The 18,180-nt window shown below is 36.7% G+C and overlaps 1 protein-coding gene across 6 annotated transcripts in view, besides 3 other annotated features; it reads right to left on the bottom strand.

Annotated features, from left to right (window-relative positions):
- The window catches only part of PRIM2 (DNA primase subunit 2), a 425,311-nt gene that overhangs the window by 206,706 nt on the left and 200,425 nt on the right, over nt 1-18,180 (bottom strand). The gene's annotated exons all lie outside the window — the stretch shown is intronic.
- Nucleotides 5,996-6,170: a silencer, noted in NCBI's record as "fragment chr6:57298773-57298947 (GRCh37/hg19 assembly coordinates)". NCBI's record gives its function as "represses an EF-1alpha promoter that drives an FKBP-Casp9 reporter gene in an ReSE screen in HepG2 liver carcinoma cells {active_cell/tissue: HepG2}" and the evidence as "EXISTENCE:reporter gene assay evidence [ECO:0000049][PMID:32094911]".
- Nucleotides 15,799-16,332: an enhancer, noted in NCBI's record as "OCT4-NANOG-H3K27ac hESC enhancer chr6:57288611-57289144 (GRCh37/hg19 assembly coordinates)". NCBI's record gives its function as "activates a minimal SCP1, AML or CMV promoter by ChIP-STARR-seq in naive and primed H9 embryonic stem cells {active_cell/tissue: H9 hESC(naive and primed)}" and the evidence as "EXISTENCE:reporter gene assay evidence [ECO:0000049][PMID:30033119]".
- Nucleotides 16,333-16,867: an enhancer, noted in NCBI's record as "OCT4-NANOG-H3K27ac hESC enhancer chr6:57288076-57288610 (GRCh37/hg19 assembly coordinates)". NCBI's record gives its function as "activates a minimal SCP1, AML or CMV promoter by ChIP-STARR-seq in naive and primed H9 embryonic stem cells {active_cell/tissue: H9 hESC(naive and primed)}" and the evidence as "EXISTENCE:reporter gene assay evidence [ECO:0000049][PMID:30033119]".

Below are 18,180 nucleotides of genomic sequence, written 5' to 3'. Positions count from 1 at the left end.
ATGAACAGCTTATTTGCCAGAATGTAAATGGTGGTTACTTCTACATGATGGGATTCTCAATAGTTTTAATTTTCTTATTGGTACTTTTCTGTATCTTCTGAAATTTCCGAAAAGAACATATATTACTCTAGTCAACAGAAAAACGCGAACAAATATTTATTTATATGCATATACATGTAATTTATAATATTTTTAAATGAGCAGTAACCACTCCAAAGTCTTCCACTTTAAATTAATTCAGGAAGTAAGCCTGAATTCTGAATTAATAATCTAATTATTAGCCTTATTAAAATGCTTCAAAAAATTCTGGATGTCAATTTCAGTGTTTTTGATGCATGAAAATTAAAATTTGGGCATGTGCTTTAAACATATTTTACATAATCTGAAATAACATATTTTACCTAAGTTTAACATTAAAAAAGAACACCTCGGCCAGGCACGGTGGCTCAGGCCTGTAATATCGGCACTTCGGGAGGCCAAGGAGGGTGGATTGCTTGAGGTCAGGAGTTTGAGACCAGCCTGATCAACATGGCAAAACCCCATCTCTACTAAAATACAAAAAGTAGCTGGGCGTGGTGGCGGGTGCCTGTAATCTCAGCTACTCGGGAGGCTGAGGCAGGAGAATTGCTAGAACCCAGAAGGCAAAGTTTGCAGTGAGCCGTGATGGTGCCACTACACTCCAGCCTGGGTGACAGAGCAAGACTCTGTCTCAAAAAAAAAAAAAAAAAAAAAAAAAAAAACAGAGTACCTCTACTCAAAGCTCATGACAGTCCAACCCTCTCAACACAGAGCAAAGGTAGTAAAATAATTCAAACTACTGGCCAGAATACAGAGAACGCTCAGAAACAGAAAGGTTTTCCAAGGTTAGATTCAATTAAATAAAAAAGGTAAAATGCATATTTAAGTTTTTCTATACAATACTGCCAATTCCACTAAAAAGACAAAATATCTAAAGTCTTCAACCACAAACCCAAAGCCAAAGTGACCATGACTAAAAATGTTTTTAAATAATAAAGAGTTTCATCTAAACAATGTAATAAATCCAAGTTATGACTGCTGAACTCCTCAAAAACCCAATAGTGACTAAGTGATTTCTATCCTAAGATGCAACATTTCCTTAAAAAGCTCAAACACTAGGAACAGGCACGGTGGCCCACTCTGTAATCCCAACACTTTGGGAGGCCGAGGTGAGCAGATCACTTGAGGGTAGGAGTTCCAGACCAGCCTGGCCAACATGGCCGCTACTCGGGAGGCTGAGGCAGGAGAATCACTTGAACCCCAGAGGCGGAGGTTGCAGTGAGCCGAGATCACACTACTGCACTCCAGCCTGGGCACAAGAGAGAGACTCCGTTTCCCCCAAAAAAAAAGAAAAAAAAAATGCCGAAAACTACATGCACAATTCATGAACTTGGGGAATAAACCTAGAGAAACAGAGACCACCCTCCCCCTGGAGATAGTATGGTTTTCTGCCCACATAAATGAACATTGTCTTTAAATAGACTCCATAAAATTCTCCAAGTTTCAGAAATTGATCTTTTTAAACTAAGTCTTTCCAAGAGTATTTAAATGTATTCCATTTCCCTTAATGCTTAGGTAATATAACTTCTTATGTACCAATATTCAGATTTGAGATGATTTCTAAAATACCTTAATTTTAAAGTATAATCACATTCATCAAAGCTGGTCATTTCAGAAGCCATCAGCTCTTTATTGAAGATGTAAGAGCCAGTAAAGCACTTCCTATATATTATTTTTAGCAACAATTTTCCATCTTTTCATTTCCTTTCATAACAGTCCCTCAGATTCAAGAGTATGTAAACCCAGCCACAAACAGTAACAATTCCTTGAAGTATGTTTTGTTTTAAAGTAGCAGAATTTGTAAAGCTAAACATTGTTGCAGAGAAAACTCATCACAGATACAATATTAAAAAGTGAATTTTACATTTATGAGGTTTTAAAAAAATCTAAAAGAACAAATTATATATTTGAGAAAAATATCTAATGGATTTTTAGTTGATTCTTTTAAACAAAAGACGACACAGAAAATGTTTCAAAGTTGAAAACTGATTTTTTTAAACCATAATTTTAAAATGTTGTTGGGAAAAATCTAACTTCCTCTTTCAGTGACCAATAACCATGTAACTATGGAGTAGGATTCAGGGAAAGAATGTACTTTAAAATCTTTCCTGTCCAGGCAGGGTGGCTCATGCCTGTAATTCCAGCATTTGGGGAAGCTAAGGCAGGCAGATCACTTGAGTTCAAAACCAGCCTGGGCAACATGGTGAAACCCCATCCCTACCAGATATACAAAAATTAGCCAGGCGTGGTGCTACCTGCCTTTCGTCCTAGCTACTCGAGAGGCTAGGTAGGAGGAACGCTTGAGCCCAGGAGTTCGAGGCTGCAGTGAGCCAAGATCGCACCTTTGCACTCCAGCCTGAATGACAGAGTAAGACCCTGTCTTAAAAAAAAAAAAAAAAAAAAAGGAATCCTTCCCAAGGATCTTTGTTAGTTGTTAATGTACAGATAATCTCTCAATCACTTTATCTCATAAAATTCTATACTGAAAATGAGATCTAGGTCTTACTCCCTCCTCAAAAAAACTTTTTGTTCCTGTGTCACTCTATGATTTTACCTCTGTCACCTCAGCTCTGTGCTAAGTAAAGAGTAGGAGAGAAAGTTTGAGCAGGAGCACATAGAGAGCCCACCAGGTGAAAACAGAGTAATGGAAGATGACAAAGAATGAGTGAATAAAGGTAGGGAGAAATAATGATAGTCTCTAAGCAAAATAGAATACCTAGGGATATGATTTGGATCTGTGTCCCTATCAACTCTCATGCCAAACTGTAGTCCCCATTGTTGGAGGTGGAACCTGGTGAGAGGTCACTGGGTCATGCAAGTGGATTTCTCATGAATGGTTTACCACAATGCCCTTGGCGCTGCTCTTGTAACAGTGACTGAGTTTTCTTGAGATCTAGTTGTTTAAGTGTCCAGTGCCTGCCCCTCTCCTTGCTCCTGCTCCTGCCATGTAAGACACCTACTCCTGTTTTGCCTTCTGCCATGAGTAAAAGCTCCCTGATGCCTCCCCAGAAGCAGATGTTGCCACGCTTCCTGTACAGCCTGTGGAACCATGAGCCAATTAAACCTCTTTTCTTTATAAATTACCCAGTCTCGAGTATTTCCTTATAGCAATGCAAGAATGGACTAATACACCAAGTTTTTATATAAGGTATGTAATTATGTTCTATTAACACTGCAGTGACAAGAAAGAGAGAATCTTAAGTAGTAAGCACTTTGTTCCAATTTCAAAACCAAACTACAAAATAATATTTATTAAGTGTGTACATACCCATGAGACTCCTGGGGCATATGCAATTTAATTAAATAAAAGAAAATAATCTATAGAGAAAATGTCCATTTTCGGGAAAATAAATCTGTTTATCACAACAACAAAAAAGGGTTAAATCTTTACATGAAATGCACTAACTAGAAATATATTTCTTTACAAATCCTTCGCATATCAACATTCCAGCCTAATGCACAACTTTTAAAGCCTTAAGAGCTAGGTAAGCAGCATCCAACTAAGTTAAATCAGTCTGTATTTCACTCATGAACACTCCCCAGTGTTCAGGACTACCAATGGGAGTCCAATTCATTATTGCTTATAAGGTTTGTGACTAAAATAGTTGAAAATCACATTTTCTGAAGACAAATAATCAAACATTTAAATAGGAATTTCTCTCTCTCATGATTGATGGCATCTGCAGTTCACAAAGTGTGACAACTGACAAATCACATTATGTTCTGAAAGAGACTTAGCGACTTTATGAGGATTTATAAGATATGGTGTGGTTTATTCATACCTTTACTCACTGAAATCCTCTTCATCTAAAACCAAGCTGTCCCAGTGGTTTTTAAAAATTACAACCCAGTCAATACCACTGTTGGCAAACTAAGCAAAATCCCTAAAATCTAATATTAGCCTCCTCATCCTAAAACACAAGAGGAGGGAATGAATCCAAGGAAGAGATAAACAGGAAAAGAGAAGACGGTAACAGAACAAAAAGAGGAGATGGGAGAAGAAATTATTTAAAACTTGCAAGCTGAATGTAGAACTAATTTTATCAACGAAAAGGGGATGGCATAATTTTCCTAGCCTCTGAATGTAATTTGGCAAATGCTGACAAGGCAAATCAAGCATCAGCTGTAGAGGATTCCAAATTTAAAAATGATCAGTGACTACACTCAAAAAACATAATATACCCCATTGGTGCATTAAAAGAATAAACACCCTTTAAAATGCCCAAACCACCTGTGCACATTGGAATGAGCTCAGCTCTTTCCCGTACTATCAGTACTTACTGAATAAAATCTGTTTGTACCACTTTAACAAATGTCTGGTTATGTTTATCTTTGACAATAGATGGCCTCAATGTGGCAATAAATAAGAAGGTACCCATGAGATGAAGACTGGGGGCAAAGTTCAGCCAGGCAGGTTACACCAGCTCATCAGGTACTAGCAGAAAGAGAACTGAGGCTCAATAAATTCTTCAGTCCCTTCAACAGGATCTTAGGAGCAGAAGCCCATATTTCAGAAGTCCATACTTTTATGATGTTTCTTCTTTTAAGTATTTGTTTCTCCTCAGTTTCAAAATTTCCTTTGGAATGATCAGGCTGTTGCCTGATCACTGTAAGCACAGTTTTGGCTGGGGGTTAAAAGGGGAAGGAATCATCCAGGTGAAAAAAGAGTCTCAGGGAGAGAACAGCAAAAAGGACAGGACTGGTCATACAGTTCAGACATCCTGTCCTTCCCGAATGTTATTCCTCCGGAGTCCTACTAAACCTCACCAAATTCTGTGGTGCTCACAGAAATCCATTTTTGGTCAAGTTTTCATCTCCTCCACAGTCCAGCCTCTTACCAAAAGCAATGAAAAAGTCATAAAATTCAATGGTTTGCATTTCAAATAATTTTATTTCCTGTACCTGGTTCTCAGATTTCAGTGTGCCTATGAATCACCTAGGGTCCATCCCCAGAGACTTTTTATTCAGAACAGAGTAGAGGGCCCAGGCATGCCGCCTAGTGCCTATAATCCCAGCACTTTCGGAGGCTGAGGTGGGTGGATCACTTGAGGCTAGGAGTTCAAGACCAGCCTGGGCAACATGGCAAGACTCCATATCTACAAAAACAAAAAAAAAAATACAAAAATCAGCTGAGTATGGTGGCATGTGCCTGTAGTCCCAGCTACTCGGAGGCTGGGGTGGGAGGATCACTTGAGCCCAGGAGGCAGAGGTTGTAGTGAGCCAAGATTGTGCCATCCAGCCTGGGGGACAGAGCAAGGCCCTGTCGCAAGAAAAAAAAGAAAAGAAAAGTAAAAAAGAGAGAGAGAGCAGAGACCCAGGATTCTGATATATTAAAAAATACACTACACTTTCAGAAACCCAAGCTGGTGGAGGAAGATAGTTAAATGGCAGAAGGCAGTCAAGCGAAAGAAAAAAAATAAATCAAGAGATTAAAAGAAATGTGCTTCAATTAACTTTTACTCAATAATTAAAATTGATTTTACTATATGGGTAACTTCCATGTTACTTCAGAAACGTAACTTCCTTGATTGGTTTTCAATTCTGATACCTCATGAATGGCATCACTTGTCAATTATTGGTGTTACAGAAAAAAAACTGGGGCTTTTCAGGGCAAATTCTTGAGATTTTTTTTTTAAGGCTTTAATCAATTACATGGCTTTCAACAAAAGCTGCCACCTTGTGACTGGAGGAGTTTCAATAAAGCATTATAAAAGCAAACCATACTGATAACATGGTTATCAGTATAACCATGCAAGGTACTGTTCTAAGTGCTTTACATGTGTTAACCCAACCACCCTATGAAGTAGACCTTGTACATTTTACATATTTAAAAACTCAGGAAGTCTGCGCATGGTGGCTCACACTTGTAATCCCAACACTTTAGGAGGCCGAGGCGGGTAGATCACCTGAGGTCAGGAGTTCAAGACCCAGCCTGACCAACATGGAGAAACCCCGTCTCTACTAAAAATACAAAATTAGTTGGGCATGGTGGCGCACGCTTGTAATCCCAGCTGCCAGGGAGGCTGAGGCAGGAGAATCGCTTGAACCTGGAAGGCAGAGGTTGCCGTGAGCTGAGATTGCGCCACTGCACTCCAGCCTGGGCAACAAGAGCGAAACTCTGTCTCAAAAAAAAAAAAAAAAACAGGGAACAGAGAAGTTGCTTGTCCCACATAACTATTAAGTGGAGAAAGCAGGATTCAAACCCAAGTCTTTCTAGATATGCCACATAATGGCCTCATTCAAGCTTTAGGAAATTTGAATGACTTTTATACCATAAAACAAGTGAAATAAGTTGCTACACACTGTAAACCAAATAAAATATGTAGAGAAATGGTTTTAAATGTCTGTTTTGAGTGTCTTGAATAATTTAACCACTAACTTCTGTAAAGACACTAGTTTTTCACCTTTATTCAACCATTGAAACTTCTGGCCAGCTCTTTAAGGTTATAATGTAACTGCAGTTAAAGTCAAGTTTGTTTAGTAACTTCTGCTTCATACTCAAGGGAACAAATTGCTCCCCTAAGGATTCCGAAAGTGGACAAAATATGTGCTCTGCTTCCTTTCAGTAAGAGCAATAGTTTGATTTTTTTAAAAGTGTTCTAGTCTTTCAACACTATTTAAAATAGAACACAGGAAGGGGAACATCACACTCTGGGGACTGTTGTGGGATGGGGGGAGGGGGGAGGGATAGCATTAGGAGATATACCTAATACTAAATGACGCGTTAATGGGTGCAGCACACCAGCATGGCACATGTATACATATGTAACTAACCTGCACATTGTGCACATGTACCCTAAAACTTAAAGTATAATAATAATTAAAATAAAATAAAATAGAACAAAGGTTTATATACATTTTTTTCATGCCATCATTTAGCACTGGGGTTGGCAATGTGATAGTAAATGTTTTAGCTGTGAAGGCCACAGGATCTCTGTCACAACTATTTAACACTGCCACTGAAACCATACACAATACATAACGAATAGGCATGACTGTGTTCCAATAAAATTTTATTTACAAAATAAGCAGCTGGCTATATTTGGCTTGAATGGCTTTAGTGTGTCAACTCCTGATTTAGCAGGTACCTGCAAGTACTAATGGTAGAATTTAGAAAAAGCTGTATTACTTGTATTGTGAACTAAAAGTCCTAACTGCTTCTAGTAAATGTTCCTGTTTAGATTATGATATGGAGTTAGACTAGCCTTTGGGCATTCTGCTAATACAGCTTAACTACAGCAAAATTTAGTTTTCAGATCAAAGAAACAAATATTTGACTGCCTGCTATGTAGATGACAAAGGACTACTCAGTTCTTCAATGTTCTACAGGAATTTTTTTAAAAGCTTAACATCCTGTGAGGTATATAAGGTCTTAAAAAGAAAAATCTGAACATATGATCATGTTAACCTGTGAATTACAGAAATTCTTCTCAAAACTATTTTTAACTGTCATATTCTTAACATTAAAATGGAAAATATAAAAATTTTATTTTAATGCCATAATAACACTAAGGACTTTTTTTAAAGTGCAAACACTTCACTTGCTAATTGGCTATAATCAAGGCAAACAGATTTTCTTTTTGTACATTTTCTGAGAAGCTATTAAGTGTCCACTCTTTTTAGGTTTAATAGTGCCCGTCACAGAACAAGTAGAACTGAACTCCTGCCTCCCAGATTTCTCATTCAATGCCCTTCAGTCTTCTGACTTCGAAGAAAAATATGAATACAATTCTTAGTATTTCCACATACATATCCTGTTTTGAAATTTCCTCCTTTGCCATTTTCAGTAGAATCTAAACAAATTCCTTTCATGAAAGTAATTATATAACTTACCCAACCCCCCCCAAAAATGGAAAGTTTTCTCACTTTACTTCCAACTTCATTTAGTCCAATTGTTGGCAAATTTATAATCTTACTTCCTCCTCTGTCACAAACAAAAAGAAACCTCAAATGCCAGTATTTCATTCATCTCATATGTAAAAAGGCTAAATTGGTGATAACATATTACTTGGCTTAGAATACATTCATATTAAGGAAGAAAATTAATGTTTTTAATATCCTAAAATACCTACATTAGACCCAAATGTTGCAGTGATCTAAGAAGACTGCTTCAGTTTCACTCCCTTTCAGCCACAACTACCCATGCAATTTTACTAAGTCCAAAATATATACAGAAATAAAACATACACACACATACACAGGAATCTCATAAGAATGAAACAATGTTATCTTCATTAGTGAAGGAAGAGAGATAAGGTAAACACAGTGAAGTTATCAAAACTAGACCTAGGCCACAATATCAGCACACATTTAGCAGCTTTTCTATGAAAGTATCATTAGGTGCATGATGACTTACAATCCCTAGGTTTATCTCTCAAAAATGAACTGCTCAAACAAAACAAATCACATTTTTTTTTTTAAAGGCAGGGTCTTTCTCTGTCGAACAGGCTGGCATGCAGTGACACTATCATTGCTCACTGTAGCCTCAAATCCTGGGCTAAGGCAATCCTCTTACCTGAGCCCCCCAAGTAGCTGGGTGCACCTCCAGGCCTGGCTAATTGTTTAATTTTTTTGTAGGAGAGATGGAGGTCTCACTTTATTGCCCAGGCTGGTCTGAAACTCCTGGGATCAAGTGATCCTCCCACCTTGGCCTCCCGAAGTGTTGGGATTACAGGTGTGAGCCACTGTGCCCAGACTCCAAATTTTCTTTAAAAGCATGTCAGGACACTGAAATCAGAACTGAGGTAGTTCACAGTTGTTATCTAAATTGGGGACAGATAGTTAGGTTATGCGACCACCAGAGAAATGGCAATGCTTCTCTGAGTGTGCTTTCCATTGTGCTACATATAACAGAAACCTAAGAATAGTACAAATCTCTATTTGGACACATTAAAAAAAAGAGGCAATAAAACAGATGAGAAGAAATGTCAAACCCAAAGAAAAAAGAAAAGGGACACGACGAAGATTGTGTGTGTGTCTGTGTGTGTACACATGTTCACTCTTAAACTCTCCCTAAAATTATATAACCTAAAATCCAGTTATGAATGCTATATGAAAAAGCAATCTGATATGAAAGGATAATAGATCTTCAAAAACATGCAAAAGCTTTTCTGTTTTGATGTTCTACAATCAGTCCCATTAAAACTAAGATAAGATTATTTGAAGTAAATGCCTGAAGTCAACAGAGGATACACTTAAAAATTATCCAAAGAATCTACAAAACCTACATTAAGAGATTTATTTTCTTTGTCTTTTAGCCTCATTTGCTTCTAACAACAGTAGCTTTTCAAGATTTAAGAAACTCCTGCCCGGGCACAGTGACTGACACCTGTAATCCCAGCACTTCGGGAGGCCAAGGTGGGCAGATTACCTGAGGTCAGGAGTTCGAGACCAGCCTGGCCAACATAGTGAAACCTCATCTCTATTAAAAACACAAAAATATAAAAATAGCTGGGCATGGTGGTGGGCACCTGTAGTCCCAGCTACTCGGGAGGCTGAGGCAGGAGAATCACTAGTACCTGGGAGGTAGAGGTTGCAGTGAGCTGAGATTGCGCCACTGCACTCCAGCCTGGGCAACAGAGTGAGACTCCATCTCAAAAAAAAAAAAAAAAAAAAAAAACAAAGAAAGAAACTCCTATACAAAGCTAACATTACATACAAAATTACTTTCGTTTTCCATATCTTATTTATAGACAACCTTTAATCCAATGTCTTCTGGATTCTGGTTTTTTACTAGCTACTTAATGCTATGAGCAAGTATGTAAAGGGGTAGCAATTAGTTCACCTATTCCCTTCAGAATAACATTCATATATTTTAACAGTCTCTAGCAAAATACATATCTCACTCAAGCACTGATTTTTCTTAACATGACACAAAAAGCATAACCCCAAGGACAGACCCCAATTTCAGAACTAAATTCAAAGGGCTATTTGATTGTGACTGAACTAACAATTCACAGTCCCTAAAGTATCCCACCTCTCTGCTAATACCAAATGCCCTTTATCCCCCATCCCCAATTTCAACTTCCTAGCCTTGACTCTAGGCTGGCAATGTTCTACATCTGAACTAAAATAAGAAACAATTACTCAACTAGTGAGAATATAGGGGTTGGAAAATAAGCAAATGAAAAGATGTTCAACAGCACTAGCCATTGGGGAATTGCAAATTGAAGCCGTGATGAGATACCAACATTATTAGATATGCCTATTAAAATGGCCAGGATTAAGCCACTCAAGTTTATGGAATTTTTGTTATAGCAGCCCAACCAGAATAAGACAGCTGCCTTCTCACTACAACCTCACAGGGTCTTTCCTCTGTTCTCACAGCCCTCCTGTCTCTGTCTCCCAATTTCCTTTATGGGACAACAATCAGACTGTATTAGGGCCAATCAGATTGTATTAGGGCCCACCCTAAAAGCCTCATTTTAACTTAATTGTCTCTTTAAAGGCCCTATCTCCAAATGCGGTCACATTCTGAAGTACAGGAAGTTAGGGCTTCAACATATAAATGTTGGGGGGCCACAATTCAGCACCTTAAGACTGATAAAGACTCTTTTATCAAACCTTGAGTCAGGCTCCTCTGGGTCCTCTTTCTGACTGGGCCTTGACCTTGGGTTCTGTCCTTGGTCCACTTAGTCCAATGTCAGCAAGAATCCTGCTAATAAGTCCGTTTACTGAAAATCCCCCATTCTCAATAATTTACCACCCTGGCCTGTCTTCAGCAAGAATCCTGTTGAGTTGGTCTAGCAAGAGTCCCTCCAGCCTTGATGTTTTCTCTTAGTAATTTTCCATCCACTGACTCCCACCCTGCTCCTTGGCTATAAATATCCACTTGTCCTTGTTATATTCTGAGTTGAGCCCAATCTCCCTCCCATAGGGCAAAACCTCAATGGAGTAGTGAATTAAGTCTGGTCTTACTGTCTTGCACAAGAGTTTAAATAAGTTTTTTCTTTAACAACAGTATGATTCCATTTATATAACATTCTCAATATGGCAAAATTATAGTGATGAAGAACAGATTATGGTTGCCAAGGCTGCAGAGATGGTATAAAGGAATAGCATGAAAAAGTTTCTCTTGGATGATGAGAAAGTTCTATACCCTGATTGCGGTGGTGATTACAAGTATCAACACATGTGGTAAAGGTTCATAGAATACATATATACATACAAATAATGCATGTTAAAACTGGCGAAATATGAATAAGGTCTGTAGTTTAGTTAACACTAACACTATGGTTATATAAGATATTATTAAGGAAAGCTGAATGGGAGGTACAATTGAAACTCTCTACTATTTTTGTAAATGTGAGTCTAAAATCATTTCCAAATAAAAAGTTTTTAAATATCTCTTTATAGCTCATAGAATCTCTAGGGAAGCCTAGAGAACCATATTTAGAGGTTATGCAACAAGCACAATGCCCTCCCTTCATAACTCCCCATCAAAAGAACAATTATATTATCAGGTTGTCCCCTAACCCAAACACTCATGTCCCACACCACAGTACTTGTAGGCATGCTGTCAATGGTTTGAGAAAACTTGAATAGGGAGCCCTACTGAAAAATATTTGTGAAACGGGGTTTTAGGCAAAGATTATCAATAGTTTTATTACTTCTTTCTTCAAGTATATTTACATGAGGATTTGAATAATCTACCTTGAATATATAGTCTTGGATCTTAACAGCAATTTCACACTAATGTCTGTTTGTTAGTTTTAATCTCCCTTGATTTACTTTTGGAAACAAGGAAGTAAGATGGTCAGGGGAAAAGCAAACAACTTTACAACTTGATATTGATTCATAATCAATTTACTGCAGAGTTGCCTCAAAAATGATTACACTTCAGCAATAAGACAATGACAGGTTTAACACATTTCTTGTATGTATAAATTTAAAAAACAAAAAAACACTTTCCAAGGTAAAAATAAACCTTGGGTATTTAAATTAAAAAATGTCAATTCTAAATGTTTAAAATTAAGCCTGCCATAATTCTACTGCAATTTTTTTTTTAAGTCAGTTTTTAACCTAGCTTCTCTCCTGTCTAAATGTAGCCACAGGATTCCTAGAGTCCCCTTAGGAAACAATCACCATGTGAGTTTTCCATGCAAATTTAAATTAATTTGAAACAGCTTGAAACTTGCAGTTAATCCTCCAAGTTGCATTTATAAGAATAAGGTTCAAATTTATAGTATTCTTATTTCAAGGAAAAGCAGCATTACAATATACAAACTATACATAAAGGATTCAAGAATTCTGACTTCTGATCTCACCAATTTTCTGCCATCTCAGAAAGTATTCCTGACAGGTCCCTTAATTCATCATCCTTAACATATTCATAGAGTTTAATCTCATTTATAAATAAACAACAATCTCCCCCCAAAAAAATTATCACTATAATACAAATGACATTGATAAAAATTTGCTATGTGATGCTGTTAATAATTGAATAACCAGGCTGGGCATGGTGGCTCACACCTGTAATCCCAGCACTTTGGGAGGCCGAGGTAGGTGGATTGCTTGAGGTCAGGAGTTCGAGACCAGCCTGGCCAACATGGTGAAACTCCGTCCTCACTAAAATACAAAAATTTGCTGGGCTTGGTGGCGCATGCCTGGAATCCCAGCTACTAGGGAGGCTGAGGCAAAAGAATAGCTTGAACCCAGGAGACGGAGGTTGAAGTGAGCTGAGATCGGGCCACTGCACTCCAGCCTGAGCAACAGAGCGACAAGTCTCAAAGAAAAAAGAATTGAATAACCCAGTTAAAATACAATTCCAAAGAAGTTTTTTGGTTTAAATTACAATTTAGCTAATAGTTTTTAACAAAGCCATTCCCAAAATCTCATTAAATACTTATGAAATCTGGAAAATAAGAAAACCTGTAACACGAAAACTAAGACTGAAAAAATACAGGATGAATTAAAACAAACTGCTTTACAGTTTTTGCCAATTTCTGCCAGGGTGATAAAGAAGTTCATTCCATTTTCTAGATAATTCAGTTCTAAAAAAGAAGAGAAATTTCAGTTGGCAGCCATTTTCACACAAGCCGAAAATATAGCTGGACAACATTTTCAATCACATTCTACTAGCTTACTCTAGATCACAAACACAACGCAGAAATTTCCTGCTTTTTAATGTATTAATTATATGAAATAGGATTCTATCATAGCTTTGGCTTAACAAAGACCTGGCTATTTATTTCAATAATCTTTCCCTATCAAAATTTCGGAAAATTGTACACATTTCTACTTTAGCCAAGGAGAAACCTCAGGTAGAAGAACAAAATCAAAACTATATCAAAATGTATTTATCTAATCACCTGTTGAGAAACATTTCATTTGATTCTAATTTGTGGCTATTATGAATAAAGCTGCTATGAATAATCATGAACAAGTCTTATGTACACCCCTCAACGGCAATGCAAATACAACTTGGTCCCCAACACCTGGTTTTACCAGTTTTTAAATTTTAGCCATTCAAGTGGGTGTACTGCTGTATCTCACTGTGGCTTTAATTTGCATTTCCTCGATGACTAGCAATACTGAGCATCCTTTTTCACACACTTAAGGGCATTAGTATATCTGCCTTTGTAAAATGTCTGTTCAAATCTTTTCCTCACTTTGGGATTCTTGAACACTTGAATACTGATCCTAAATAAAAAGAAATAAAACAGAACAAATAATGACACACACAGAAACCTGGCTGAGCAAAAGAAACCAGACACAAAAAAGTACATACTATGTGAGTCTACTTACATAAAACTCTAAAATAGGCAAAACTAATCTATAATATTCAAAATCACTCAGTGGTTGCTTGGGACGGAGAGTTTGAGATGAATGATTACAAAAAGCACAAGGTTATATTTGGGAAGGTGGGAATGTTCCTTATCTCATTTGGCATAATACTTATATGATGAGTGTATACTTTTGCCAAATATTAGAGACCTGTGTATTTAAAATCTATGCAGATTATTATATGTAAAGTATATATGAGTAGACACGACATGAGTTACTTTCCATCTTCAATTATCATATTTGAATTAAAATATATCTTTATGTGAAAAGAAATATTGAGTTATTAGCTGTCCACATATACTTAACTTTTAAAATAGAAATTGATAATGCTTCTGAAGTCTACGTTCAGGGTCTCTTCTGGGCATAAACAGGCCTATATTTGAGTAAAAGACCCTGAAATTCTGAGTTTCCACCTATTTTTACCATACTTTAACTGACCACTAAGAAAAAAATGAATTAATAAAAAGGTACACTATATCTGAGAGGTGTGATTACCGTTGTCTCCACCACCCTCTGTCCCTCAGATCTCTGGCCTCCTGTAAGTACCTTCTAATTCTATTCCTAGAATGACTCTCATCATTACTCAGACTATTAATAATTTCTGGCTTCTGAGGATTATTACTACAGTCTCTAAAAAGGCCATTAAAATTATGTTGACCAAATGTTTCCTATGCTTGGTGGAGATTTCTAATCTTTGAGTAATATTTCAAATATCTAATGTTGTTATAAATTAGACCATACTATGAATAATTTAAAATAATTCCATTGGCAGGGTGTGGTGGCTCACGCCTGTAATCCCAGCACTTTAGGAGGCCAAGGTGGGCAGATCACAAGGTCAAGAGATCGAGACCATCCTGGCCAACATGGTGAAACCCCATCTCTACTAAAAATACAAAAATTAGCTGGGTGTGATGTGCGCCTGTAGTCCCAGTTACTTGGGAGGCTGAACCCAGGAGGTGGAGGTTGCAGTGAGCCAAGATCGCGCCACTGCACTCCAGCCTGGGCGACAGAGCGAGACTCCCTCTCAAAAATAATAATAATAATTCCATTAAAAAATGTGTTTAGAATCTAAATCAAATAAATCCTAATTATTTGTTCAAAAAGGAAAAGAAATGAAAATATAATTTAAATACACGCTGCATAATAAAAACTAGATAGACACAGAACATATTTTAAGTGAGAAAAACTTGAAAAGTCAAAGCTATTCCTAAGTATAATATTTCACAGTTATCTATTTAACCAAGATAAAATATATGTGTATACATGTTTATTTATTCATTTATTCATTCATTTGGTATTCCTCTATCCTACACTTAAGGGAACACTAGCAAGGTTTTTCTTGAGTTACTTTAGTTGAACAGTATTTATTTGCATATATATAAAAGCTCTAAAGTGACAGTTATTAGTTCATTTAATAATATATTTTAGTTGTCTCAAATTATGCAAATTACATTAAGACTAATATAACTTATTTGCAATGACTTTGCTGATCAAAAAATATTTCTAGCTTCAGGTGGAATAACTGATGTCAAAAATGCACATTCTAATTTCTTCCATTTAAATTATCCAACTCAATGTCTTTTTAATGTATTCTTCTTATATAAATATGATCCTCCTTAAATTACAGACCAGTATTGTGTTTTTAAGGCATTGCTTTGATTTAATGGTAATCTCCTTAATATAAGAGTTTCCCAAATTTGATAAAGTCTTTTTATGAAGCTGTTGCAAAGATCTCCATTCTTGATACGCTGTTTACCAACTACTAGACAAGTTTAAATACCTTTATTTTAGCACTTACTCATGTTATCTTGTGGAGTCAGGCATTTGCTCATATCTTTTCCATCTGTTCTTATATAATTAACTAAATATGTAAAATCTAGTTGCTTTTCTTTGCCCAGGCTCTCAATGTTGTTTAATCTCTCCCTGGATAAAATTTAAAAGAACTTTTCCCTAAATCCTCTACTTTGGCTAGAAATGTACTATCTTTTTGTTAATAAAGTACATTGCTTCAAGTACTGTAAGATGTGGATGTGACAAAGAAGAACTGAACTTATCTTGATCTCTCAGTTAAGCTCCAGACAGCTAACACTGAAAAAACAGAAAAAGAATCTCTACTTTCTCGGAGTGCCTGATGTTTAAATTAGGTCCCAGTTTTGTTTTTCTTACAATTTCCTGAAATAAATGTACTTTTTCACAATCCACGCTGGCTAAACTGTGCCCATCCTTACCTATCTACCCACCACTGGCATCACAGACAAAAATTTCTAGTCAGCCCAAAATTAAAAGCAAGAATGTCATTCCAAGAAATAGGGTACATGTGCTCACAGGTATGTACCCACTGCACTCCTGTGCAGGCACACAAGAAGGAGCTTCAAACAGAGCCAAAAGATGCAATTCCACCTTTAGACCTGGACCCTTAAAACTCCTGCACTGACTGGGCAATTCACTGCCTCAAGGGATCAGTTACTGAAACAATGTACCCTTAATCACAGTGAGTACTACTCTAGGGGATATACCCACCAGGCAGCACGGGATCCTTTAGTATTCAATTAGAGATGTTTACTAAGGCAACATGAAGCTTCCCTTGGCTTTGCACATACCAAGTTTAATTGGCTACTTCACCATAAATTCCTCAAGGGGATTTAACAATGACCACGTCTTAGTCTCCGATCTTTAACATAAACCCTATTACCTAGCAACTACTAACATTTCGCTAATTCTGCTGCTCCCAAGCTTCCTGACTTTGCCACAGCTCATCCACTGCACTCATGTCACTCCAACTGGCAAGGTCGCCATCCCTCCAATCCATTCAGAGCAATAGGGTCTAATGTAAAGTTTGTGTTGTCTTATATTTTGCACTGGGTTCTTCTAGATTTCTTTCATGTTAACCTTCAACTGCTTGACTCTGATTAATTTTATATGTTGTCAACCACAGTACACTGGCCCCAAATGAAAATTATATATATGCTTCTTTGAAGAATAATGGAAAATTAAAGGAACTATGTGAAAGCATGCAAACGTCTATGAAAACATGTTCCTACATCTGGAACTTCTCTGATTAAAGAAAAAAACTACCATAAATTATTAGAAAAACACCAAGGTATAATACTAATGAAGAAATGAAAACAGACTTTCCGATAGGCTACCAAGTCAACTGCAAAGTGAAAAAAAGCAAAGGCTACTAGGTTTTTGTTGTCTTATTATCATACCATACTAAGCTTGTGTGTACATATTACAAAAATCAGCCATTTGTGTTACAAGGAATTACTCTGCACTAACACTGAAAATATAATACCTGACAAACTCCTTATTCATCATTCTGAGACATTCAAACTTCAACTAAAGTCTTTTACCTCCATTATTTAAAATTTCAAGTAAATGGGGCATCTCAAAAATTCACCTGCAAAATACTACATTTGTTTCCATCCTTTCTTAGCTCTTGGTATCTGACCTGCTTGCCAATTTATTCTGAAAGGTCATAATGTAAGCAGAGTTCTGCTGCATGTGGGGAAAAAAAACCTGTTTAGCATAAAACCCTATCATTTGTATACTAGCCATACCATGTAAAAAAAAAAGAATTCCATCAAAAAAATGTAAACAGTATTATTGCCACTGAAATTCTGATACATTTGTTTTAATAAAATTAGTCTAAATGGATTTTTGGTATATTAACTTGGTATCTAAGTAAAATTCTAAATTTCATTGATGTATCTTTACATTAAAGTTCTGTGATATGTAATAATACTCAGGTCATCATATTCCATTAATTAAAAGTTAATAGCAATTAATTTTAAAGCACTGCATAAAATAATGACAGAAAATATAAATCTTTAAGAAATATTTTCAGCTGAGCATGATGGCTCACACCTGTAATCCCAGCACTTTGGGAGGCCAAGGCGGGAGGATCACCTGAGGTCAGGAGTTCAAGACCAGCCCGGCCAACATGGTGAAACTTTGTCTCTACAAAAATACAAAAAGTGGGTGCCTGTAATCCCAGCTACTTGGGAGGCTGAGGTGGGAGAATTACTTGATCCAGGAGGCAGAGGTTGCAGTGAGCCGAGATCACACCATTGCATTCCAGCCTGGGCGACTGAGAGAGACTCCATCTCAAAAAAAAAAAAAAGAAAGAAAAGAAATACTTTTGAATTTAATGTCTTCTATTTGACTACATAAATTAATGCAAAAAAAAGAGTTCTATAAATTTAAACTGTACGTTTGATGAAATGTCATAGCTCAAATTATAATGCAAGATATATTTTTAAGACTGGTACAGTCAAGATCCAGTCTTGTAGATAATAAACTTATAAATTAAGACTG

This window comes from Homo sapiens, chromosome 6 (genome assembly GCF_000001405.40).
Source record: "Homo sapiens chromosome 6, GRCh38.p14 Primary Assembly".
NCBI classification, from domain to species: Eukaryota; Metazoa; Chordata; class Mammalia; order Primates; family Hominidae; genus Homo; species Homo sapiens.
The sequence above is the reverse complement of the archived record's forward strand: the minus strand, read 5'-3'. Positions and strand labels throughout refer to the sequence as shown.